Here is a 25,837-nt window from a genome sequence, read left to right as displayed (position 1 = left end):
ACTTTTTTTGAAGGACAGGCATTTTCCTTATATATTTCTACCTTTTCCTTATTCAAGTGCTAGGATAATTTCCATTTCCATAAAGAATAATGTGTAGTGTTTTCAACCATATAACAATTTATATATCATTTTATGAAATGTTGCATTTCATGTAAACTGTGCTTTTATATTATATCAGTAAGACTTTTAAATTTATCTGAAGGTCTTATTTTAATATATGTTTGGGAAAAGAATATTGTCTACCAAAAACTGGCCGTATGTTTTTCATTACTCTTGAAAACTACAATCAAATGAAATGAAATTGTTTAGTTAGTATTATTAATGTAAAGGAAAGTGGTGTACATGTCAATATTTAAAACTTTAAGAATTTTAATATATTTTGCAGTTAAAGTAGAAATGCAAAATCATGTTACAACCAAGATAGTTAAGTATGTCATTTAATAGGCTACATAGTTAAGGGTCCTGCATTTACAGTAATAATTGGTTGTGGCAAAATTTTGAGACTAACTAAACTGGTCCTTCCAGCGTGGATGTTTTGAAAAATATGCAGTGTACTGTTTATTTCACCTTGATATTGTGAGCCAGACTACTTCTTAGATGGTGTTTTATTTTTGAAGAGCATAACAAAGAAGTACATTATCTTCAAAAGGATTTCACTCCTATTTTGAAGCATTAAGATCTTTTCAATACTTAGGGATGATTGCTCTTGTGTAAATGGTAACAGAGTGAGGTGGGAGCACAGAGGAGTGGATGAATGGTCAGGAATGGCTTCAGTTGGAGTCTTCAAGAGTGAGTCTGCCTAGAATCTTGGGAGGTGAGTCTGGGCAGCGAAGCTGGGAGTCTTTGGGAAGGAGGGAATGTATGTGCAGAGACTGAGTCATGCAAGAGTATGTATGTATGTTTAGCCACCCATGAGGCACTCAATGTGGCTGTAGTGTAGAAGGGTGGGGCAGTGAGGCTGGTGAAGGAAATTGGTGCGGTTGTGAAGCTCCTAATGTATTAAACCAGGAAGTGTGGACTTGATTCTGTGGCCATCGGGGAGCCACCCAAAAGTTTGATTGTTGAGAGTAGGGAAGGGGTTGGTGACAGATGAACTGGAAGGAGAGATGATAGCAGGAAGACCATTTGCGTGGTTCTCATGGAAGTCCCCATAAGAGATAGGAGGAGTGTAGAGGCCTGGGCAAGGCAGTAGCGGAAGACAAAGAGGAACTGACTCCAAGGAAATGCTTCTTGAGTCCAGTCAATAGGAAATATAGGATAGTGTGGAAGAGACGAGCCAAATGGGGAGTCAGGAAGATTCCAGTGTCTAGTTCAGCTTTGTTACAGTAAAATGAGTCCAGTATAAACAGTGAGAGGAAAAAGATGTTCTAATCCTGAATTCTGAACCTAAAGATTGATGTCTTTATGTTTAGATTATTCTTTTCTTTAAAGTGGTACTTTGTAATCCATTGGTGACCTCTTTTATATGGCCTTGTTCAAGCTGAAACAAGTAATATGCTTCCGTATTAAATATATTTTCAAACAAAAGCAAATGATCAAATTAATTTCTGGAATTTTATTTTTTAAGTCCTACAAGTTACTGCTTGTTAGAGGCAGGTCTGGGCCCCCTTTGGAGCAAAGATGTAATGGAACAAGTATCGTGTGAGAAGTCTACCCTGATAATGATGATCATTACAAAAATGAACAGTTATTTAGTATAGAAAACAGTGCTGGGCACTTTGGTATGCTCTTTAGGTATCTTAATCTGCCCTGTGACTTGGCCATGATGATCACTTCCAGTTTACAGATAAAAACACAGACTTCAAGTTTTCGGTAACTTTGCAAGGCTACCCAGTTGGTAAATGCATTTGGATCCCGTAGTTTGACTCCGAGGCTCCAACCTCTAGTTATACTGCCTTTAACTTCCTTTTGACTCTCTGTTTTTAGGCCAAACTCTTCTTCTATGTACCTTTATAGAATTTGACAGGATTAAAAAAAAAAATCTTTGGAATTTTCTCTATGTATAATAATGAGATTTTTGGGTAATATTACAGATTTCGATTTGTTCAACTTGTAGGAAAATATACCAGTTTCAGAATTGCTTTCTATTCCAGAGAATAGAGAATAGTTAATTTATATATAATATTAATTGTTTAATAAAGTTCCTGTTATACCTCAAAATATATAATGCTGTTTATTTACAAAACAATTATAAAAATATTTATGAAATAATGTTAGCTGTGAGACCTCCTTAAAAATACTCATTTCTGTATTTAGAAATTTAGCTATAAGAGCATTCATTTGCTTTGTATAATACAAAAATTTGGAAACAGGCTAAATATCCAGAAATGAATTGATTAATAAAGGTTTAGTCATATAACCCATATAATGGATTGTTATTCTGCCACTAACTTGATTAATGGCATTAATTTTTAAGTAAAGAAAATATTCATATGTCCTTTTTCATGTTATCTTTATAATTTAAAAAGCTTTTTATAAAAATGCCATTAAGAACAGGAGTCGACAGGCGTTTTCTGTAAAGTTCTAGGTAGTAAATATTTAAAAGCTTTGCAGACAGAGGCAATATGGCAGATATTATGTGTGTATCTGCCATGTATGTAACTGTGTAAAAGTGTAAACATCATGCTTAGTTTATGGGCTGTTCAAAAACAGATGCCTGGCTGGATTTGGTCTGCAGGCTGTAGTTTGCTGATTCCCGATTTAGGATATATACTGGTTTCTCTCTACCCCACAAAATCCATATATAAACAAAGGAAAAGCATACAAGGCCATATTATCACTGGGACATGTGCTTTTTAATTTTATTTACTATCATTATCTGCCTTCATTTTCTAAATTTTCTATAATATGCATAACTTATATACTTAGCAAAATAACTTTTTTTTAGCAAAACATATTCATCTTTATACATATTATAGGTGTCTTCTGTATTGATGTTTGGGTTGCAGAGCTATGGAACCCAGAATGAAATGGTATGTCTTTCCTTCCCCATCTCAAACTCTCTAACAAGGGAGTTAGGGGAAAGATTTGGTTTATTTCTTAGCCAATTTTATTGTATTCAAGATTTTCTGTTAATATAAAGCCAAAATTGTTTTTTATTCTACTACACTTTTTTTTCCTTGAGATATTAAATTTAAAAAAAAGTCATTTTGAAATAACCGTATATTCACATGTAGTTAAGAAATAACACAGAGGTGGGAGGTCAAGGCGGGAGGATCACTTGAGGCCAGGAGTTTGAGACCAGCTGGGGCAACACAGTGAGACCCCGTCTCTACAAAAAATTTAAAAATTGACTAGGCATGATGGAGCTTGCCTGTAGACATGGTTACTTGGGAGGCTGAGGTGGGAGGATCACTTCAGCCCAGGAGGTTGAGGCTGCATTGAACCATGATTATGCCACTGCACTCCAGACTGGACAGCAGAGCAAGACCCTATCTCTAAAAGAAAAAAAAAAAGGGAAAAATGCAAAGATATTCTGAATATCCTTCACCCGCTTTCCAAAGGGTAACATCTTACGTAACTCTAGTACAATATCACGCCAGGAAATTGATATTGATACAAGGCACAGACCTTATTTGGATTTCACCCGTATTACATGCATTCATTTGTGTGTGTGCATGAGTTTGTGTGTACTTAGTTCTGTGCAGTTTTATCATGTGAAGATTCATGTAACCACCACTCCACTGCAGTGAAAATACAGGACAGTTTCATCACAAGGTTCCCTGTGCTATCTTTTTTTGGTCACAGCCACTCCTTGCCGCACATCCAACTCCTGGCAACTACTAATCTGTTCTCCATCTGTATAATTTTGTCGTTTTATACATACTATATGCATAGAACCATATAGAGCGTAACCTTTGGAAATGGGCTTTTTTTGGTGCTCTGCCAGTCTTTTAACTAGTTGTAGGCAGACCACTCACATTTAAAGTAATGATATGTTAAGGCTTAAGTCTGCCATTTTTTGGTTTTCTGTTTGTATCCTCCGTTTTTCATTTCTCTTGTTTCTCTTTCCTTTCTTTCCTGTGCGTTACTTGAACATGTTTTAGGATTCCATCTTAATTTATAATATTTTTTAGTTCCTTTGTATAATTTCCTAGTGGTTGCTCTAGGTATTGAAATATATATACATAACTTATCACAGTCTACTGGTGTCCACAACAGTTTGCCACTTCTAGTGAAGTGTAGAAACCTTACTTCCATTTAGTTCCTTTACCCTCCTTGCTTTTTAAGTGCAATTGTTTAAATATTTACTTTATGTACTTTGAGCACCACATCAGTTGGTATTGTATTTTTTGGCTTCAACTATCAAATGTCATTTAAGAAACTCATGAAAAGAATAATCTATTATATTTACCCCTGTTTTCACTCATCTCTGTGTTCTCTTCTCCTTTTTGAAGTTCTAAGCCTTTTTTTCTGTTATCTTCTATCTTCTACTGTTCCTTTCTGTATGGAAAACTCCTATTAGCCACTCTTTAAGGATAGGCTTGCAAGTGAGAAATTCTTAGTTATTTTAAATTTTTAAATTTTTTAATATGAGAGTATCTTTATCTTCCCTTCAGTTTTAAGGTTTTTTTTTTTTTTTGTTTTGTTTTGTTTTGTTTTTTTAACCAGATACAGCATTTGTGGTTGGCAATTCTTTTCTTTGAGGACATAAGATATATTGTGCCACTTCCCTCTGGCTTCTATCATTTCAAATGAGAAACCCATTTTCATTTGAATTGGTGTTTCCGGTAAGAAATGTGCTGTTTCCCTAGCTGTTTTCAAGATTTTTTTTTTTTTTAACTTTAGTGTTTGCAAGTTTAATTATAAGGTCTTTGGGCATGAATTTCTTTTATTTGTCTTATTTGGGGTTTGCTCAGCTTCTGGAATCTGTAGGTTTATGCCCTTCACCAAATTGTGAAAGTTTTCAACCATTTTTTCTCCAAATACTTTTTCAATCCCACTCTCTTTCCCTGTGGAACTGTAATAACATGAATGTTGGCCCTTTTATTATTTTTTTCACAGGTCCCTGAGACTCTTCATTTTTTTTTTTTTAAATTATACTTTAAGTTCTGGGTTACATGTGCAGAACATGCAATTTTGTTACATAGGTATACAAGTGCCATGGTGGTTTTCTGCACCCATCAACCTGTCACCTACATTAGGTATTTCTCCTAATGATTTCCCTCCCCTAGCCCCCCACCCCCCACAGGCCCCAGTGTGTGATGTTCCCCAGTAGTCATTCAGGAACAGGTTGTTCAGTTTCCATGTAGTTGTGTGGTTTTGAGTGAGGTTCTTAATCCTGAGTTCTAATTTGATTGCTTTGTGGTCTGAGAGACAGTTTGTTGTGATTTCTGTTCTTTTACATTTGCTGAGGAGTGTTTTATTTCCACTTATGTGGTCAATTTTAGAATAAGTGCAATGTGGTGCTGAGAAGAATGTATATTCTGTTGATTTGGGGTGGGGAGTTCTGTAGATGTCTATTAGGTCTGCTTGCTCCAGAGCTGAGTTCAAGTCCTGGATATCCTTGTTAATTTTCTGTCTCGTTGATGTGTCTGATATTAACAGTGGGGTGTTAAAGTCTCCCATTATTACTGTGTGGGAGTCTAAGTCTCTTTGTAGGTCTCTAAGAACTTGCTTTATGAATCTGGGTGCTCCTGTATTGGGTACATATATATTTAGGATAGTTAGCTCTTCTTGTTGAATTGATACCTTTACCATTATGTAATACCTGCTTTGTCTCTTTTGATCTTTGTTGGTTTAAAGTCTGTTTTATCAGAGTCCAGGATTGCAACCCCTGCTTTTTTTTCACTTTTCATTTGCTTTCTACATCTTCCACCATCCCTTTATTTTGAGCCTATGTGTGTCTTTGCATGTGAGGTAGGTCTCCTGAATACTGCACACCAATGGGTCTTGACTCTATCCAGTTTGCGTCTGTGTCTTTTAATTGGGGCATTTAGCCCGTTTACATTTAAGGTTAATATTGTTATGTGTGAATTTGATCCTGTCATGATGATGCTAGCTGGTTATTTCCCCCGTTAATTGATACAGTTTTTTCATAGCATCGATGGTCTTTACAATTTGGCATGTTTTTGCAGTGGCTGGTACCAGTTGTTCCTATCCACGTCTAGTGCTTCCTTCAGGAGCTCTTGTAATGCAGGCCTGATGGTGATGAAATCTCTCAGCATTTGCTTGTCTGTAAAGAATTTTATTTCTCCTTTACTTATGAAGCTTAGTTTGACTGGATATGAAATTCTGGGTTGAAAATTCTTTTCTTTAAGAATGTTGAATATTGGCCCCCACTCTCTTCTGGCTTGTAGGGTTTCTGCAGAGAGACCTGCTGTCAGTCTGATAGGCCTCCCTTTGTGGGTGACCTGACCTTTCTCTCTGGCTGCCCTTAACATTTTTTCCTTCATTTCAACCTTGGTGAATCTGACAATTATGTGTCTTGGGGTTGCTCTTCTCGAGGAGTATCTTTGTGGTGTTCTCTGTATTTCCTGAATGTGAATGTTGGCCTGTCTTGCTAGGTTGGGGAAGTTCTCCTGGATAATACCCTGAAGAGTGTTTTCCAACTTGGTTCCATTATCCCCGCCACTTTCAGGTACACCAATCAGACGTAGATTTGGTCTTTTCACATAGTCCCATATTTCTTGGAGGTGTTGTTTGTTTCTTTTCACTCTTTTTTCTCTAATCTTGTCTTCTTGCTTTGTTTCACTAATTCGATCTTCAATCACTGATATCCTTTCTTCCAGCCGATCGAATTGGCTATTGAAGCTTGTGTATGCTTTACGAAGTTCTCATATTGTGGTTTTCAGCTCCATTAGGTCATTTAAGCTCTTCTCTACACTGTTTATTCTAGTTAGCCATTCGTCTAACCTTTTTTCAAGGTTTTTAGCTTCCTCGTGATGGGTTAGAACGTGCTGCTTTAGTTTGGAGAAGTTAGTTATTACCGGCCTTTGAAGCCTACTTCGGTCAACTTGTCAAACTCGTTATCCATCCAGTTTTGTTCCCTTGCTGGCGAGGAGTTGTGTTCCTTTGGAGGAGAAGAGGTGTTTTGGTTTTTAGAATTTTCTGCCTTTCTGCTCTGGTTTCTCCCCATCTTTGTGGTTTTATCCACCTTTGGTCTTTGATGTTGGTGACCTATGTATGGGATTTTGGTGTTGATGTCCTTTTTGTTTATGTTGATGCTATTCCTTTCTGTTTGTTAGTTTTCCTTCTAACAGACAGGCCCCTCAGCTGCAGGTCTGTTGCAGTTTGCTAGAGGTCCATTCCAGATGCTGTTTGCCTAGGTGTCACCAGCAGAGGCTGCAGAACAGCAAATATTGCTGCCTGATCCTTCCTCTGGAAGCTTCGTCCCAGAGGGGCACCTGCCTGTATGAGGTGTCTGTTGGCCCCTACTGGAAGGTGTCTCCCAGTCAGGCTACCCAGGGGTCAGTGACCCACTTGAGGAGGCAGTCTGTCCGTTATTGGAGCTCAAATGCCGTGCTGGGAGAACCACTGCTCCCTTCAGAGCTGTGAGGCAGGGACATTTAAGTCTGGAGAAGCTGTCTGCTGCCTTTTGTTCAGATATACCCTGCCCCCAGAGGTGGAACCTAGAAAGGCAGTAGGCCTTGCTGAACTGCGGTGGGCTCTGCCCAGTTTGAGCTTCCCTGCCACTTTGTTTACACTGTGAGCATAGAACCGCCTACTCAAGCCTCAGTAACGGCAGACACCCCTCCCCCCACCAAGCTCCGGCATCCCAGGTCAATCTTAGACTGCTGCGTTAGCAGCGAGTAAGGCTCCATGGGCATGGTACCTGCCGAGCCAGGCACGGGAGAGGATCTCCTGGTCTGCTGGTTGCAAAGACCGTGGGAAAAGCACAGTATTTGGGCAGGAGTATACCGTTCCTCCAGGTACAGTCACTTATGGCTTCCATTGACTAAGAAAGGGAAATCCCCCGACCCCTTTTGTGAGGGTGAGGTGACGCCCTGCCCTGCTTCTGCTTGCCCTCTGTGGGCTGCACCCACTGTCCAACCAGTCCCAATGAGATGAACCAGGTACCTCAGTTGGAAATGCAGAAATCACCCATCTTCTGCATCAGTCTCGCTGGGAGCTGTAGACCGGAGCTGTTCCTGTTTGGCCATCTTGGAAGTGACGACTCTTCGTTTTAAAAAGCTGGTTTTCTCTCTCTCATTCAGAGGGTATACATTCTCTTGATCTATCCTCAGATTCAGTGGTTCTGTCTTGTGTCATCTCCACACTGTTATTGAGCCCATCCAGTGAGTTATGTCTTTTGGTTATTGTATTTTCTAGTTCTAAAATTTTCCTTTTTTTAAAAAAATTCTATTTATTTTCTGAGATGTCCTATTGTTTCACTTGCTTCAAGAGAATTTATAGTTACTTGTTGAAACATTTTTCTAATGGCTACTTTGATATTTCCAACACTGGATTCATCTCACGATAAACATTTTAATGCAAGACAATATTTAAATCATGAAGACTCAATTGCTTCAATATTTCCTATATGCCTCATGTTATGCTGAGTCCTTTATGTGGATTATCTCATTTAATATGGACCACAGTCCTATCAGGTAGTATATTTGGTGGGAGAGGCTGGTTATGCTGAAGTAACAAACAGTTCCAAAATTGTAGTATCTTAACACAACATTTATTTCTGAGTAGAATTAGTAGTGCAGGAAGAGGAAATTGAGCGATTAATAATACAGAAATGTGATCATTTTCTGTAGGGTTTTTTCTATTTATGGAACATAAACAATGTGCTATGGAATACATTGGTGATAGAACTGGAGACTAAAGCAGCTCTGCTTCATGGAGATAAGTATTTTTTAAAAAATCCTGCGTCTCAGTGGATTATGAGGTGGGGAGATCGAGACCGTCCTGGCTAATACGGTGAAACCCCGTCTCTACTAAAAATACAAAAAATCAGCCGGGCATAGTGGCATGCGCCTGTAATTCCAGCTACTTGGGAGGCTGAGGCAGGGGAATTGCCTGAACCTGGGAGGTGGAGGCTGCCGTGAGCCGAGATTGTGCCACTGCACTCCAGCCTGGGTGACAGAGTGAGACTCCGTCTCAAAAAAATAAATAAATAAAAAATAAAATCCTGCGCTCTGAATAGGTTCTTGGTGTATTATATATTTAGAAGTATATCCCACCTTTCTCAGAAGAGTTTAGAGTATAGTACAAAGAACTTTGCAATGTAAGCATCAAATTATTAGCCTAACATTTCAAGATTACAGTTGAACAGCAGAGAGAAGAATAAGAAGGGAAAAAACAGGCTAAAGAGGAGTGTTAAGGAAAGAGAAGAGCACCAAATAGCAAGTGAAGTGTTTTGAGGTCTGCTTTGTACCAGATGAGGGTTCCAGAGACCTTTGATTTGTGAACGCAACTAAATAGCTGAACTAGGCTTATTCTGCCTATAGTTTGTTCCGTTGAAGCAAAGATTGTGTGCGCATTGTATTACTCAGAGCCCAGGCCAAGGCAGGTAGTTACAGAACAGTTAATTGGTGTAGGCCAGGCGCAGTGGCTCACACTTGTAATCACAGCACATTGGGAAGCCGAGGTGGGAGGATTGCTTGAGGTCACGAGTTCAAGACCAGCCTGGGTAACATAGTGATCCTTCCTCTCTACAAAAAAAGCAAATAAAAAAAAATTGTGTTACCTTTGTCTTTACAATTTTTGTTACCATTATTAAATAAGCATGCCTCCTAAACAGATGTGCATTTAGTTCTGGTTTAGTTCTTCCAAATACCAGTTAGGAGTTCTTAAATATGTTAGATGTGTAAATTTTAATAAAACCAAGTGGACTGACAAATACTTGAAATTATTTAAAATAAACCTGTATGCTATTTAGTTGAATGAGAAATTAATTTTAAAATGAAATGCAATTTCTAGGTGCATCAGCCACAAAGAGAGTTCTTTTTCAGTTTTGTTAAAATGAAAACCAGTCATTGTGAGAAATCAGGAGATAGCTTTTTAAATCAGGAAATGCATCACACAAAAGTCATTTATTTATCTCACTTGGTGGGTAGAACATTATGAATCATTTATTGAAAATTAAATTGATTCTTTACATGTATTAATTTTAATAAACAGATTTATGGCAACTAATAACAAAAATGGTAATGTGCCCTGTTATGAGATTGATTGCTGAGAAAAATGGAGCATAGGGTTATAGTGTCCACATAGCTTCCACATAGCACTTGGCTTACAAACTTGCTCTTTCATTTAATGAGCTATTAATATTAACAGGTTCTGCTGATTATTGCATCATTCAGGCATGGATAAACATTCCCTTTGAAGCATATATTATAAAAATTATATGTTTGGAAACTTAGTAGAAACTTTCTGGGGGCAAGATTTTTGAATCTCTATTACGCCCCTTTCTTAGAGATTGAAGAGATGAAAACAACTCCCCTGGTATGATATATATTTGAGCAGAATTTATAATTTCACTACCTAGAAGAAAAATTATTTTAGGCAGTCCAAGATTGGTTGATCATTTTATTCATTCAAAAAATATTTATTGATGACTTTTATATCCTAGATGCTAGGATACACAAGTATTTCATGAGGGAGACAGTAAACAAAAAAACTTAAATATATAATAAACCAAGTGAAATAACACTAGTTAAGGGGACTATGGAGTGGTCTGAGGAGTTGCTGTTTTATCCTGGGTGGTTAGGGAAGGCCTGTCTGTTCAGGTGACATTTGAGTAAATATTTGAGGAAAAAGTCTCATAGGTAAAAGGAAGAGCAAACACTGTGCCCAGAGGTAGGGTCATGCTGGATGTCTTCTAGGATGTGAGTGTGGCTGGAGCAGAGTGGTGGGAAATGGTGTCCAAGAAGTAATGGGCAGCTAAGAATGTTGACCCTACAGGTCAATTTCTTGTCTTTGTTGTTTTATTTTTTATTTTTTGTTTGTTTTTGAGGAGTCTCACTCTGTCACCCAGGCTGGAGCGCAGCGGCCGATCTCGGCTCACTGCAACCTCTGCCTCCCAGGTTCAAGTGATTCTCCTGCCTCAGCCTCTCGAATAGCTAGGAGTACAGGTGCATGCCACCATGCCTAGCTAATTTTTGTATTTTTAGTAGAGATGGAGTTTCACCATGTTGGCCAGGCTGGTCTCAAACTCCTGACCTCAAGTAATCCATCTGCCTCGGCCTCCCAAAGTGCTGGGATTACAGGCATGAGCCACTGTGCCTGGCCCTTGTCTTTATTTTTTACTGTAAGCTGGAAAGCATTGGAGAGTCTTTGTTTTAGTAGGATCACTCTGGATGCTGTTTTAAAAAATGTCTAAGGAGGATAAGTAGGAATAGGGGAGACCATTGGGGAGGCTTTGTTAAAACTCTGGGCTAGAGGCGATGAAGGCTGTAGTTGCTTTTTGTTTTTTAAAGTATAGCCAACAGATTTCCTGACTAAAATGTGGGCATGTAAGTGAAAGGGAACAGTCAAGGATGAGCAATTGGAATGATGGGGTTGCTGTAACTAAGGTAGGGGAGGACTCTGGCTAGAGTTAGTTTTGGTGCTCAGGGTGAAAATAGTGGTGGTGGGTAGGTTGGAAGTTCTACTTTGCATATTTTAAGTTGGAGATGTCAATTAGACATCCAAGTGGAATTGTCTAGTAGACCTGAAGAAGAGTAGTTCAAGTCTGGACTGGAGGTAAGAATTTGTGACTCAGCATTTAGATGGTGTTCAAAACCATGAAACTGGATGAGATCATTTAGGGCATGAGGACAGATAAAGAGGCCTGATTCCTGGACCCTGAGGGGTGCTACCACATTTTAGAGATCTGGTAGATGAAGGGAAATCAGCAAAGGAAACAGAGAAAGGGTAACCAGTGAGGTAGGAAAAGAACCAGGAGAGAGTGGTGCCCCAGAAACCAAGGGAGGATCCCGTCTCTGGATGAAGGACACCATCATTGTGTCAAATGCTGCTGAGAGGAGGAATGAGATGAGGTCTAGGGATTCACTCTTGGATCTGCAAAAGTGAGGCCACCGGTGATTCTAAGAGCACTTGTGGTGACTTGTGGTGACTTGTGGTGGTGGGGCTTGACTGGAAGGAGCTCAGGAGAGATTGAGTTGGCAAAATACCTTTGAGATGCCCTGAGAAATTCTTGTACTGTGTATTACAAAATGGTGCAATCTAGAATGCTTGTATGGGACACTTGTTGAGTGACTGTTAAAGAAGATAATGTGTGTTTGACACCTTGCCTGGCATTAAAAGGTATTCAGAAAGCATGCTGCTGCTGCTATTTTATTATTTTTTGTCCATATGTATGCAAGGCACTTTCGTGAGGATAGGCACCCTGGCCCCAGTATCTAGTAGAGCTGCTCGTCAGTGAATGAATGAATTGATTTTATTAATCGTCTCAACAATTATGTCAAGCTGGTGTTGTGTCCTCATTTTGGAGATGGTGAAACTAGGGCTTTGAGGAGGCCTTTGTCAAACAGAAACAAGGACCACTCCTCGCCTCCTGACTCAACCGGAGAATTGTTTTATCCCATGCCGTGTCCTCACAGGGATCAATATTTAATTTAGGAGCAAACAAATGAGAAGTTTTTTTATTTAGCTTTGAGTTTGGCTCAGAGCTTCCAACTCTTTTGCTCACCATCATTTTTATCCTCTCTGATCCTTATATTATTCTCTGTAACAGGCAGAATAATGGTTCCCCAAAGATGTCTACATCCTAATCCCTGGAACCTGTGAATATGTCATGTTACACAGCAAGGGAAAATTAAGGTTGCTAATCAGCTGACTGTAGGAGAGTGAGATTATCTGGACAGGGCCAGTATAATCCTAAGGGTCTTTGTAAATGGAAGAGGGAGGCAGGAGAAAAGGCTGTGATGTGGGAATGATTCAACCTGCCTTTGCTAGCTTTGAAGAGGGAAGAAGGGCCCACAGCCAAGGAATGCTGGCGCTTTCAGAAGCTGGAAAAGGAGAGGAAAGGGATTCTCCCCCCAGCTTCCAGGGGAGGGCAGCACTACTGACACCCTGATTTTAGCCCAGTGAGATCTGTGTCAGACTTCTAATCTACAGCACTGTACGACAACAAATTTGTGTCGCTTCATACTACTAAGTTTGTCACATTTTTTTTACAGCAATGATAGGAAACTAATACAGTAAATAATTTGATTGAATGACCTTGTCTCCTTAACACTTTTCATTAGGCCGCATTTCAGAGTTTTGGAAGTCAAATACATCCAGCAAGGAGAACATACAGAAAATGGTTGTGACGAAACTGCTAATACTGTGGGGAGCTGTATTTATAAAAATGTGTCTTTTCTGATGATTGTTCAAGAGTGTGTTTAAATGATCATTTCACTTGACAATTAGGGCCTGATTCTATGCTGTCAAGGCTTTAAGGCATTCCTGTCTCTGCAGGCTCAAGAAATGCTATAACAAATCTAAATAGCACAAAGGTTTCTTTCATCCATGAGCTATTTCAGTTTCAGTGCAGCCGTTTTTAAATACAGAGATTCACAGGCATCCATGTCATCACAGTTCTTTACTTTAGAATATGACTGTTTTCCCCAAAGACCTGAGTAGATTAAATACGTCTCTCAGAATCGCATCAGGGAGGGATGGGAGTGGGGAAACCTCTGAGAGAGCTTAAGGGTTTAGTCTGTTGTCATCATTTCCATCACCAGTGATTGGGCAGTTGTGAGGGATTTGGGCTGTCATGGGCTACTTTTAGTCTTTACAGGCATCCAGGAGAGGTTCTTGGCTAAAATAGGAGAGGGTAGCATTTCCTTTTACATTCCTAATAACAAGATTCACACTTAAATGTGTGTGAAAAAAAATTTTTTTAAATGATGTGGTAAAATAAAAAGTAATGTATCTTCATCTTTTAATAGCTTAAAACAATGAGGTAATTAGATAAGAAGTGTTACTGTTTGGTTTTATGGTCTGGTCATGTGATAGGAAGTAACTTAGAAGGGAGGCCATGAGTTCTGCAGTGTGAAGTTGGGGTTGTAATACACATCATGGCTGTATTTTTAGTATTTCACATTCACTGGGTATTACCAGATACTAAGCTTTGTGCTTTACGTACATTTATTGCATTTAATTCTTACAAAAGTCCTCTGAGGTGCAGGTTATCATTTCCTTTTCACAAAAGGCAAGGTAACCAAGGTTTTAAGTAACTAGTACAGTGTATATGCGCTGCATATGGTAGAAATGGCAAAAGAAAAATTTTAGTTTGTTTTGTGACTGGCTCTTGATTATGAATTTCAGTAGGATTTTGGATAATTTTCTTTCTTTCTTTTTTTTTTTTTTAAAGAAATGACATTAGTGACCTTTATTAAGATACTTGATTGTCCTTACATCTCATACCTATTTCAGCAGGGGTCTCCAACCCACCGGTCCATGTGCGCAGTGGGGGAGTGAGCATTACCGCCTGCGGTCCACCTCCTGTTAGATCAGCCACAGCATTAGATTCTCATACAAGCATGAACCCTACTGTGATCTGTGCATGCGAAGGATCTAGGTTGCACTCCTTATGAGGATCTAATGCCTGATGATCTGAGGTGGAACAATTTCATCCCCAAACCGAGACCATCACCACCACCCTCACCCTGGTGGAAAAATTGTCTTCCACAAAACCAGTCCCTGGTGCCAAAAAGGTTGGGGACCACTGTCTTACAGCAGCTTCTGGATTTTTTTTTTTCTGTTATTTGAATACTTCCTCCAAAAATACGATTCAGTGTGGGAATTTGTGAGGTGACTCTTCTGAGCCTTCATGAAGTGCACTTTGAGTTAATCCACAGAGGAAGCAGCCCCTAACAAGCATCTCTACTTGTTAGGAGGAAGGGAGAAAATGGAGGAGTGAATGCAGCCGGCCAGTCCTCACCCCTGTGAGGCTGGGCTGTTGCTGCCCATTTCTGTAGTGAATGGGGAAGCAAAACCAGGCACCCGGGGGAGAGGTCAACGCTGGATCTACCAGCTTTCCTTGACCCTCATCCTTACTGTTGCCCCTGGCTCCCCACTGTGGGTCGTTTCAGTGCCTCCATAGTTTCTTACTTGGGCATGTTAATTTCTGGAATCCCTCTTTCCTCTCATTTTTAGCATGTCTTCAGGGCTGAGTTGGGGGTAGAAGGCCAGCAGCACAGGTCAGCTCTCTGTCTTGGCAGAAGCCATGTTTTGTTCTTTCTAGTCATACTGTCTTCAAATAAGACCATACCAACTAGGATCAATTTATTACGTTTTCCATTTTCTTGTCTTTTGCCTTGGCTAAAACTTCTAAGTTGGTTTTGAAAAAAGCAGAAGTGATTGTTGGCACCTGTGCGTTGTTTCCTGCTGATGATGGGAATGTTTCTCTTATTTCATTGCTCCATATCATGTTGACTTCTGAATTCAAATGGTCATTCGTGGCTCTTCATTCTTAGCTCTTCGGTAAAGAAACCTTTGTATTTACTGAAAGCTTTTTTAAGATCAGAAACAAGTGTTGAACTTTATAAATGCTGTCTGCAGTGTCTGTCAAGATGGCCCTGCGTTTTCTTTTTCCTCTGACTTATCAAATGACGTCAGATTTCCTAATACTCAGTCTTTGTGTTTTTGCAATATTTGATCTTACATGTTTTTTATTAATATATGCGGGGTTTGATTTATGATATTTAGACTTTCTACATTTAAATTTCTACATGAGATGACAGAATTTTATGTATATTTTTTGTTGTTTTTGGTGTACTGTTTGGGAGTTTTGATATCATGGTTATCAAAATGAATTTGGAAGTTTTTATATTTGCCTCTTATGGGGCAGCTTAAATAAGTTGGGAATTTTCCATTCTTTGAAGGTTTTTAATAGAACTTGCCACTGAAACAGCCTGAGCCATGTACCTTTCTGCATGAGATAGATAGTACTTTAATGGCTTTTATTTTCTCACTGTTTTTTTGTGTGTCTCATATTCAATTTGTCTGTAAAAGGTATTAATGCTTGGACTTACTATTTTTTTTTCTGGTTTATTAATTCATTTTAGCTTTACTTTTGTTAGTTTTCTCTGGTCCCTGCAGTGCCCACCTTCCTGCTATTAGAGGTCCTTTGGTCCTGCACTGCTTAAGGCTGGACTCCCAGACCATGGAGGGCACTGCCCAGGTGATAGAGGTTTAGAGTCTCAGCCTGTGGAAGAAAGATGTAGAAAGATGGTGGTCAGGGCTAAAATGTGTGAGGATTGGAGATACAGTGGGCAGAGGCTGCAAGCATAGTTCTCCTTCTGGAAAAGAGTAGCTAAGGGGTAGGGCAGGGGTCGGCTCTGTGAGGCTGGGGCAAGCTCAGCCCCAGTCTTGGGCACAGAGGGTTGGTGGGAGAGCTAGAAATCATCTGAATACCTTTTGTTCAGGTGGGTTATGTTTCTTGAAACAAATCAGAATATGTCAGGAATTTAGATTCAACAAATGTGTCAGTTTCTCCTTGATTTTGGTAATCATTTTAATGCTTACTGCTATAGTGAATTTTTATCTTTATCTAATTTTTCTTGGAAATTATTGAGAAACTGGTAGAGGCTTTGGTGGGGGTGGTTAGCAAGTTGCTTCTTTGCACTTGGCTTATGGAATGTGCAATTGGAAATGCTCGAGAGGCATTTAATCTCCTCTCAAACAAAATAATTTGAAGAGCTTCAGCATTTTCCTTTTTCGTATAACAACATAAATTTATTAGAAATAAGTGTAAGTTTTTCTGACAACTGAGTTTGCAGGACCTCTATTTGCTTCTACTGCTAGAAGATGATATAGTTCCACTTCTATAAATTTATCTATAATTCTAGTTTATGGTATTTCAAAATTGCCAGCCCTTTCCTTCTGTTTGGTGCCTCGACCTCCCTGCTCCCCCTTTTACCCCTCCTTCTCTGTGTCTGCGAAGTAACACATAGTTTAGATGATCTCTGAGGTTCCTTTGGTTAATATTCTATGATTTGGATTTTCCTGTGTGGAAATCTAAATGAGAATGTCTTAGAAAAGCTGCTTACCAAACCTGGTCTGCTGTTACTACATACGTTTGTTTTCACTGGTCTTTATTAGGTACCCACAGTTCTGTTAGGTGAAGTTCAGAACAATGAAAAGGCATAAACTCTGCTTCTGAGGATCTTGTGATCACCAAGGGATATTGGCAAGAGAGGAAAAGAGGGTTATGTTGGCTTTAGTGGCGGAAATTGTCCACCTGAATGGCATAGCTTGAAGATTGGTGAGGTTATTCCATATGGCTAGAAGGAAATGAAAAGCTTATTTGCTTTTCTCATTTTTTCCCCTCTTCTATATATTCTTATCGCTTTCCCAATATAAACTAAATGATGGGAGTTGATCCTGTTTATGGTATGTGGCTTAGGGCATGGGAACCTTCACCTTATTTTTTCCTCCTTGAATTGAACATGAAATTCTAATACTACAGGGCACAGGAGAGACCAGGGTTTATGAAGACTGCATATCTTGTGAATCTTAAGTAGAGCTCCTCAATTATTAGGGGCTCAACTTCTCAGTTTTCTGGTTAGTGTGTTACGGTAAAGCAAAGCAGCTTTGAGAGATAAAAATCTTAGCTCAGTAGATACAAAGTGTTGAAGAGGATGTTGAACCGTTTTTATAATAAATATGTTTGTTTTAGAAAATTTAGAAAATATTGGCAATAGCTCACAACAGTGATTTTTTTTATTTGCTATCTTTAATAGTTACAGCAACCGGGTGATGTGATTTCTATTTTCATCCCCATTCTACAGAGGAAGAAACCGACCTTAGGGAAATTACTATATTGGTGTTTATTCTTCTCATCTTCCCCCCATATATGCATATACATTTCTTAAATAAAATTTGGATCATACAAAGCAGGTTTTATGACCTATTCTTTCACTTAGAAAGACATTGTGAGAACATTTCTTTTTGTTATTAAATTGTCTTTGAAAACAGATTTTAATGTAAATGTAATATTTTATCTTGTGAAATTTATTTAATCCAGAATTTTTCAACCTTGGGGCTACTGGCACTTTGGGCTGGATAATTTTTTGTTCTGGGAGAGTGTCTTGTGCATTGTAAATTGTTTAGCATAATCCCTGGCCTCTACCTGCTAGATGTCAGTAGCACCTTTCCCCCACCCAACTGTGACAACAAAAATGACTCTAGACATTGCCAAATAAATGTCCCTGGGGGACAAAAATCACCTCTGGCTGAGAACTACTCATTTAACCGTATGTATTTTATGCTTTAAATAATAATATGTGGGTATAGTAAACTCATGCTGAATTTTCTGTTTGAAAAAGTAGACCCATGCCATCCAGATTACATTTATCAGCTCCTAATTTCAGCTACTTTAAAAATTAATATATTTTTTCCTTAATAGCAATATTGCTTGTAAGTTGAAAATTTAACAACATTTTTTGCATTCATATAAGAATGTAATTGCCTATCTCTCAGCAGTCTGATGGAAAGGCATGCTGGGAGCTTTGACCACAGTTGTTTTATTGTAGATGAATTCCATTATCTTCATGTCACTTTCTTAAAAAGTTTGGTCATTGAGGCAGCTATAATACCTTGTGTTATTAATGGAAACCAGAAGTTACTCTTTCAGCTTGTTTATGTAGTTTTCTTGATACGTTTTGACACTTTAGAAGGATCTATAAAGCCATCTTTCCTACCAGATAGTCATCTTTGTGTGTAAATAAAATGATCTTTCTTTAATAGAACTATAGCATACAGTATTAATAGTTACAGTTGTCTTTTTAAGGAAGTAGCATTCTTTCTTGGGATGAGGTGTGGTGGGCGATACAAAGCTGATTGAAGACTTTTTGATTCATTTTGAACTTTACCTTCAGGTTCTTTTTTAGGCATTCTTTTTTCTCATCTTGGATCTTTTCTACACTTTATGGAAAACTTTAATACGAATGTGACAAATTTGGAGATGTCCTATATTATTCATGTACTTTTAGTGATAATGTTATAGTTTCAAATAAATGTGAATATCCAATAATATGTAGCTCCTGTGTATGTTGCCTTTTGTGCGTGTTGTTAATGTGTTAATATCCTGTGATAGTGACTGGAACTATTCCTTAAAATATTGTTATATGTTTTTGAAACTCAAGATGTGTTTTGATTGATTGTATTAATTTTAATTATGCTCTTAAAAATTTATTTGTATTTGGTACCAACTGTGTTTTATCTTTCTATTCTCTCCTCTTAATAGTAATAGCAAAGAAATATTTTAGTCATAGGGCTTCTACAAATTGAATTATTTGTAAAGAGAGAATTTTTTAAAATGCAAATTTCCTAAAATTCAAATGTTCTGATACAGGATTTTGATAGCTGTTTTTTATATGTTAAGCTTGTAAGGTCCACTACTAATTTTGGATATTTCAATTCCCCATAGGTAATTAGAGTTCTAGAAAGAATGTTCTAGAGGAAGAAAACCTGTATTTTATAGCTTCATCCCCAGGGTTGGTTATCGATTTTCTTTTTATTAATAGTTGGTTTTTTACTGTGGAAGTTCAAACTGCATGAAAGGTTTTTTTTGTGTGTGTTTGTGTGTGAATTTCTTTTGAGGATATTAGTGTTTCCCTATTGTATCTAGCTTTAAAACATTGGATATTTATTAAAAGGATTTGCCCCTAGTCAGATGTAGTTGATGACATGAAACCAACTAAACCATTCATCTTATTAAAATTCCTGGAGGTTCAGCTGAGGTCTTTCTCAGGTGAAGCTGGAGAGGATGAAGGTCATCTCCACAGAGTGAGATGTGAATAGTTGAGGAGTGCTCCACTGGTGGTGGTTTCTACCAGCCTAATTTGGGCTTTATAAGATATCTCACCTTTCCCCAATCAGTATATTGAGTATCATTTTATTTTGTAAAAACAAAACAAAATGGATTTTAATAAAGAAATGGTATCCAGAGGTGACATTTTAAGTTCTGTGTAAGTAGTAACAGTAGAAAATGTGATGATCTTTCTCTTAACCCCTAGAATTCATGTGACACACATTTTTAAAAAGTAAAATTCAAGTCTTCATTTGGCCTGTAACAGTGATGCCATATAAAATGTACCAATATATGTGAAAGATATGTTTAAACAAGATGAAAAATGTAGAACCCATTCTGCACAATTATTTTTGGTTGTAAACACTGAAAAAATCAATTTCTTGTATACAAATTTTAAATTATTAGGTGAAAAGAAATGTAAAATATTCTTGTTGGTATACAAGACCAAGTTAGGTAAACAGGACTTCCTCCATGAAAATTTACCCCATGGTAACACTGTAACAACATCACTAAACAGTTTTTCAGGGAGAAGTCTTTAAATGCTTTGATTTGTTATCCTTAAAAGTAATTTCCCTCCTCCTAAGTCCAAAACTCAGTAAGATTGACCATGATGTGACATTTATTTTCAGATAGTGTTTAGAATTCTGTAGGATGGTATAAAGGACTTGTCTTTAATTAAAAGTGCTCTACACTTAGTAAAAATCTATGTGAGTTGAGGAATTGATTCTTTTTAAAAGAAAGCCGCAAATTTTTCTTGTATGGGTAAATGTCACTCTGTTCATATCTTCGCTTAGCTGCAAGTCAGGACTTGTACTATTCCACTAGGTTGTCATAGAAACGCAGTTAACTGTCATCTTAACTCAGACTGTTGATGGTTTTATTTGTAGGTTTGTAGGATTATTAAAATTTAACAAAAATTATTGATTTGCTTTTTATTAACACTGGGTTGTTTACCGTGGAAGTCCAAACTGCATGAAAACCTTTTTTCTATTATTATTATTTTTTTAGTTAAAGAGAAACTCTATAATCTACTAGACTTTTAAATGTTTTTTATTTAAAGTGTGATATAGAGTCAGCAGCAGCAGAATAACCTCCATGAATCGTATTTTTCAATCACTTTCTATTTTCTTTGTTTACAGCAAGAAGGAAAAAAAAAACCTTAAAAAATTCACCTTTACCCTACTTTTAACTTAACATAAAAGATACCCGTCAGAAAAGCGTGAAATGATACATCAAATGCCTAATATTGGAGTTTTCATTTTATTTATGGTTTTTGAAACCCCGTAAGGATGCTTCACTGAGCTGTGTTGTGAAAACATTTATTTTTGTATATTTATGTGTGAGAAATTATTTAGTTTTCACTTATAAGTAAGACAGGGAAACCTTATTTACAGTAACTTTATCTAATGGTCCGTGGATGAGTGCTTTTATGCAAAATAGTCAAGAGGCTAGAATTAACTTTTCACATTGGATGCACATTTGATGTCCAGACTTGAGCAACATGTGGCATCTTATTATAAAGACTAACACTCAGGATTCAATTTGTATTTAACATGTTTACTTCAGAATGCACACATCATCTGTGCTACATTTAATATTAACTTTGTAATGATTTCTCTTTCTTGCTTGTATTTACATAAGTAGAAGTGTCTGTTGTTTTTTGCAGTTTTCTTTTTTCACATTTTTTAGACTTGGCTAATTAGCTATTTTATATTTTCTGTTAAAAACAGGTCAGTTTTGAGGTGTAACAGCTCCTTGGGTTGGGTAGATGATCACTACCTTTTCATAGAAATGTGTAGGCCCTATGGATAACTGTGCATATACTTCCCTTTTGTTGCTATTAGTTCTTAAAGTTATTCTTGGAAAGTTAATAACAGGTATATCATCTTTGTTTTTAATACTTGCATCCGAAATAAACAGCTAATAGCTTATGTATAACAAGGGAATTGAATTTAAGACAGCTTATCAGTAGACACGAAATAGCCTGCATGATGGCCTCCAGTGATCCTTACCTCCTATTATTCATGCTCTGTGCCTGCACCTCCCACACTGAATCATGACTGACCCGTATGACTGAAAGGATATTGTAGAAATGACAGTGTTCCATCTGAGGCCATATGAAACATGGATGGGGCTTCCACTTTGTTTCCTCTTGGATCACTCTTGCTTCGTGGACCCCTCCACAGGGCTGCTTGATCAGAACATGGCAAGTGGCTTCCTCCGGAGTGAGTGATCCAAGAGTGTTGGCAACTTCTGCCAACAGTGAGGACCAACTTGCCAGCCATTTGATTGAGCCATCTTGGAAGCAGATCCTCTAAACCCAGTCAGGCCTTCTGATAGTTACAGCCCTAGCTGACATCTTGTCTGCAACGCCGTGAGAAGTCCTCAGTGAACCACTCAGCTAAGCCACTTCTGAATTGCCTACCCTTAGAAACTGTAAACGAATACATATTTATTGTTGTTTTAAATCAGTACATTTTGGTGGCCAGGAGTGTGGCACATGCTTGTAGTCTTAGCTACTTGGAAGGCTGAGGCGAGAAGATTTCTTGAACCTATGAGTTTGAGTCCAGCCTGGGCAACATAATGAGTCTCTATCTTTATAGAAAATAATAATAAAGTAAGTAAATCAGCAAGTGTTGGCATAATTTGTTACACAACAATAGCTAGCTAATGCACCTGCTAAATAAACATATTTTAAAACATTTTCTAATGATCACACAGTTTATAATTATTTCTAGGTTTAGAATAGGCTTCTGTTGTGATTTGTAGCATCATTTTCTTTGGAGATTTTGGAGTGTGTTATAGAAGGTATTGACTTTAGAGCACTCATAGCTGAATTTGAACTTTAGCTTCTCCTCTACCCACTGTATGTCTTGAGGAAATTACTTAAAATCTCTGATCACCAGTTTTTGCTGAAAATCTGTAAAACAGGATAATTATACTTAACTCTCAGTAGGGTTTGTTTGTTTTTTCTTTTAAGTCAGGATGAAATGAGATATCTGATATTAAGTCTCTAGCATGATGCTTGATGTACTCCATCATTTCCATTAATCCACAGATTAACCCCTTTCCATGTGAAGATGCAATCCCTTGCCCCACAGGTGAAGACTTCTGTAAGAATTTGAGTTTGCAGTCTCTGCCTAGTGTGTCTCATCAGTCTTATAATCTTCCATAGGCAGAGCACTTATTACTCTACAAGTCGTTTTTCTTTTGCCTAATTTTCTTTTTACTATGATGCACCTTAGGTGTGACTTTATATTTATCCTGCTTATTGCAGAGCTTCTTGAGTTTGTAGGTTGATGTCTTATCAGTTTTGGAAAATTCTGTTGTTATCTCTTTAAATGTTGCTCTTGTTCCTTTCCATTTTTCCTTATCCTTCTGGGACTGTAATGAAAAGTATGTTAGAGCTTTTCACTGTGTTCTACATGCCTCATAGATTCCTTTACATATTTTCCTTCCATTTATTCTTCTCTGGAGTTCCCTTTGGATATTTTTTTTTACTCATTTCACTTATTTTGTCTTCTGTTTTGCTAATCTTATATTAAACCATCTATTGACTTCTTAATTCAGTTAACATTTTCAGTGTAAAAAATTTCATTTGATTCTTTTTTTTTTTTTTAACAGATTAGAATTCTGTTGAAAATTTCTATCTTTTCATCAGCTTTCTGTCTTTTTCTGTTTTTTTTTTTTTTTTTTTTTTTTTGAACATATAGTCATAGTTATTTTAAAGCCCTGCTAACTTCAATGTCTAGGTCACCCATTTGTTTATTTTTATGGTCTTTTTTCATCCTGATTTTTGGTCATTTGGTCCCGTCTTATGGCATACCTGGTAATATTTTATTGAATCCTTAGTACTGTACATGAAAAATTGTAGAGGCCCCAGTAGTTTTCTTTCTCTGAAGAGGAGTCACCCTTTCCTTCACTAGACAGTTATGTTGGGGGTTATATACCTTACTCCAATCAAAGATTGAGCTGAGTCAGAACTCTAAGGGAGTTAAGTTTTTGTGTCCTCTGGGGACCAGGGGTTCCAACTAAGACTGTGATATTCACCAGGATCCAATTTCCCGATGCCTCTTGAACTCTTATTCTTATCTTTTTAACACATCAAGGCAGCTGGTTTGCATTTTTCTTTCTGTTCAGCTTTTTAGCTTCATCCTTTGCAGCTTTAGAAATTGACAGTTGTCTTACAGGGAAAAGTAGCTGTGTAACAAGCTCATGTCTCTGCCTCTCTTCCACTGATATCTTAGCCCCGCAGGTCTCTCTCCAGTTTTGTCACTCCATCCCCGCAAGTGCCAGAAGGTGTGCTGCTTTCCCTACCCCCGGCAGTGGCTGTCTTCCCAGGCAGAGCTTGGGTTCTCAGCCTCTTGTCCTACACCCAGAATTAGTAAATGCCTCCAGGAAGAAAGTGGCTGTAGAATGCCAGCTCAATTCTCTGCTGCCCTGGAATCTTGATCCTTCTAGTTGAGGTTGCCTCAGCAGCCCTTTGATGCCTTGGATAGATGTTGTTATATATTCCATCAAGACTTTCTGGTTATTTGTGGTGGGAGCACTGATGTCCTCAAGCTACTCTAATATTAGCTGGAGGGTGAAGACTATGCAATTATGGTGGTTTGAATGGTTTTTTGACTCTACAAACCACGGTAATTCCATAGTCTTCACCCTCTAGCTAATGTCAATGAGTAGATTATTTTTATGAACTTCTGTTTTGGCTAGTTTTATGCCATCACAGTTCTCCATATGTAAACTTTTTGTTTCCTATTACTTATTGAAGTAAAATAAAATCTTACTCTGAATCATTATTATAATAATTTTTACAACTCTCCTTGATTTATTAATTCAAGGCCATTATAGTAAATATTGATTACTAACTTTATTCCATAACTGTGAGGATTAAGAATAGTTTATGAAGCCGTACCAAATAGTAAGGTTGAACATGTAAAGTTAGTGACAATATAACACCAAGTCTGTATACTCTTGTTTTCAACTTTTGAATTTATTTTACCAGTGAAGTTACAGCAATTGATATACCTAGGCAAGATGAAATATGAAGATTTTAACCTTTAGCTGTAGTTGGAATTATTAACATCATTGAAGGAACCATCTCTGGTTCTCTCGTAAGAAGTGTGTTTTGAGGTTTTCAAAACAAATAAATCTCTGACGGGTGTCATTTTTCTTTGCCGTTTGTGCAGGAAGAAGAGAGCGAAGAGGAACCCAAGCTGAAGTATGAAAGGCTTTCCAATGGGGTAACTGAAATACTTCAGAAGGATGCAGCTAGCTGCATGACAGTCCATGACAAGGTAAGATAGCACTTTCAGAGGATTCTTCTGTAAATTGTTTCCATTGTAAATTTGCTTGTGCTTTGGAGTCCTGATGTTTTTGGTGGTGGCTTTTTACAGTGATTCTGTCTCCTTGCCACTGCTCTCTTCCTCCTTGCCAACAAAAAACCCCAAATATTTTATATGTGTGTACGCGCCCATTCACACACATACAACACACTCCAAGACTGTATTAAGTAGAATGTAGACAGTGATCAAAGTCAAAGATTTATATGAAACGGGTTTTGGCAACTCTGTCGCTCACTTAATTCCTCAAATTATAAGGATTCAATTAGGAACCTGTTAAGATTAGAAATAATGGGAAGCTCAGTGCTTTTAAGTTATTCTTTTATTAAGTTATTCTTTTATTAAGTTATTATTGGAAAGTATAAGGGATTACATTGTAGGTGTTATGAATAGTAGAAATGCCCCAAATTATTACTTATACGAATGAATGAATTTATTCCACATCTGGGTCCTTGCCGTAACAAAGCTCTCACCAACTTTCTGAGTCCAGGGTAAGTACTAGATAGCACCGTTAGCCTATTCTTGGACCAAAACAGTTTGTGTCATAGTCAGAATATTGGGGGGCAGGGAGCTTCACCCATTGCTCTCTTCTTCCCTGTGACCTTGTAAGTTTTACTCCTTCCACAAAAAGCAAACTGCTCTTGTCTGATCCATCTCCTGGCTTTATCCTATGTTACTAGCAGTTGGCCTCATCCTCCCGCTTGCTTCCCACCCAGTTCCTTTTTACTTCAAATTTTGTTTCATTGTAAATAGAGTCCTGTACCCCCAACACTTTATTAGAATGTATGCCTGCTTT

General features: G+C 37.8%; 1 protein-coding gene across 3 annotated transcripts in view, besides 2 other annotated features; it reads left to right on the top strand.

Moving 5' to 3' along the window:
• Window positions 1-25,837, top strand: part of VPS41 (VPS41 subunit of HOPS complex) — a 186,218-nt gene that overhangs the window by 15,050 nt on the left and 145,331 nt on the right. For all 3 annotated transcript variants that reach the window (XR_007060008.1, NM_080631.4, NM_014396.4), the window contains exon 3: window positions 24,889-24,996. Coding sequence is in view for 2 of the 3 variants with exons in the window: in NM_080631.4 (NP_542198.2) it covers window positions 24,889-24,996 (108 nt within the window). In the remaining variant the exon portion in view is untranslated. The remainder of the gene's footprint in view (window positions 1-24,888; window positions 24,997-25,837) is intronic.
• Window positions 7,175-7,691: an enhancer, noted in NCBI's record as "H3K27ac-H3K4me1 hESC enhancer chr7:38926051-38926567 (GRCh37/hg19 assembly coordinates)". NCBI's record gives its function as "activates a minimal SCP1, AML or CMV promoter by ChIP-STARR-seq in naive and primed H9 embryonic stem cells {active_cell/tissue: H9 hESC(naive and primed)}" and the evidence as "EXISTENCE:reporter gene assay evidence [ECO:0000049][PMID:30033119]".
• Window positions 7,692-8,208: an enhancer, noted in NCBI's record as "H3K27ac-H3K4me1 hESC enhancer chr7:38925534-38926050 (GRCh37/hg19 assembly coordinates)". NCBI's record gives its function as "activates a minimal SCP1, AML or CMV promoter by ChIP-STARR-seq in naive and primed H9 embryonic stem cells {active_cell/tissue: H9 hESC(naive and primed)}" and the evidence as "EXISTENCE:reporter gene assay evidence [ECO:0000049][PMID:30033119]".

Source organism: Homo sapiens, chromosome 7 (genome assembly GCF_000001405.40).
Source record: "Homo sapiens chromosome 7, GRCh38.p14 Primary Assembly".
Lineage (NCBI taxonomy): Eukaryota > Metazoa > Chordata > Mammalia > Primates > Hominidae > Homo > Homo sapiens.
The sequence above is the reverse complement of the archived record's forward strand: the minus strand, read 5'-3'. Positions and strand labels throughout refer to the sequence as shown.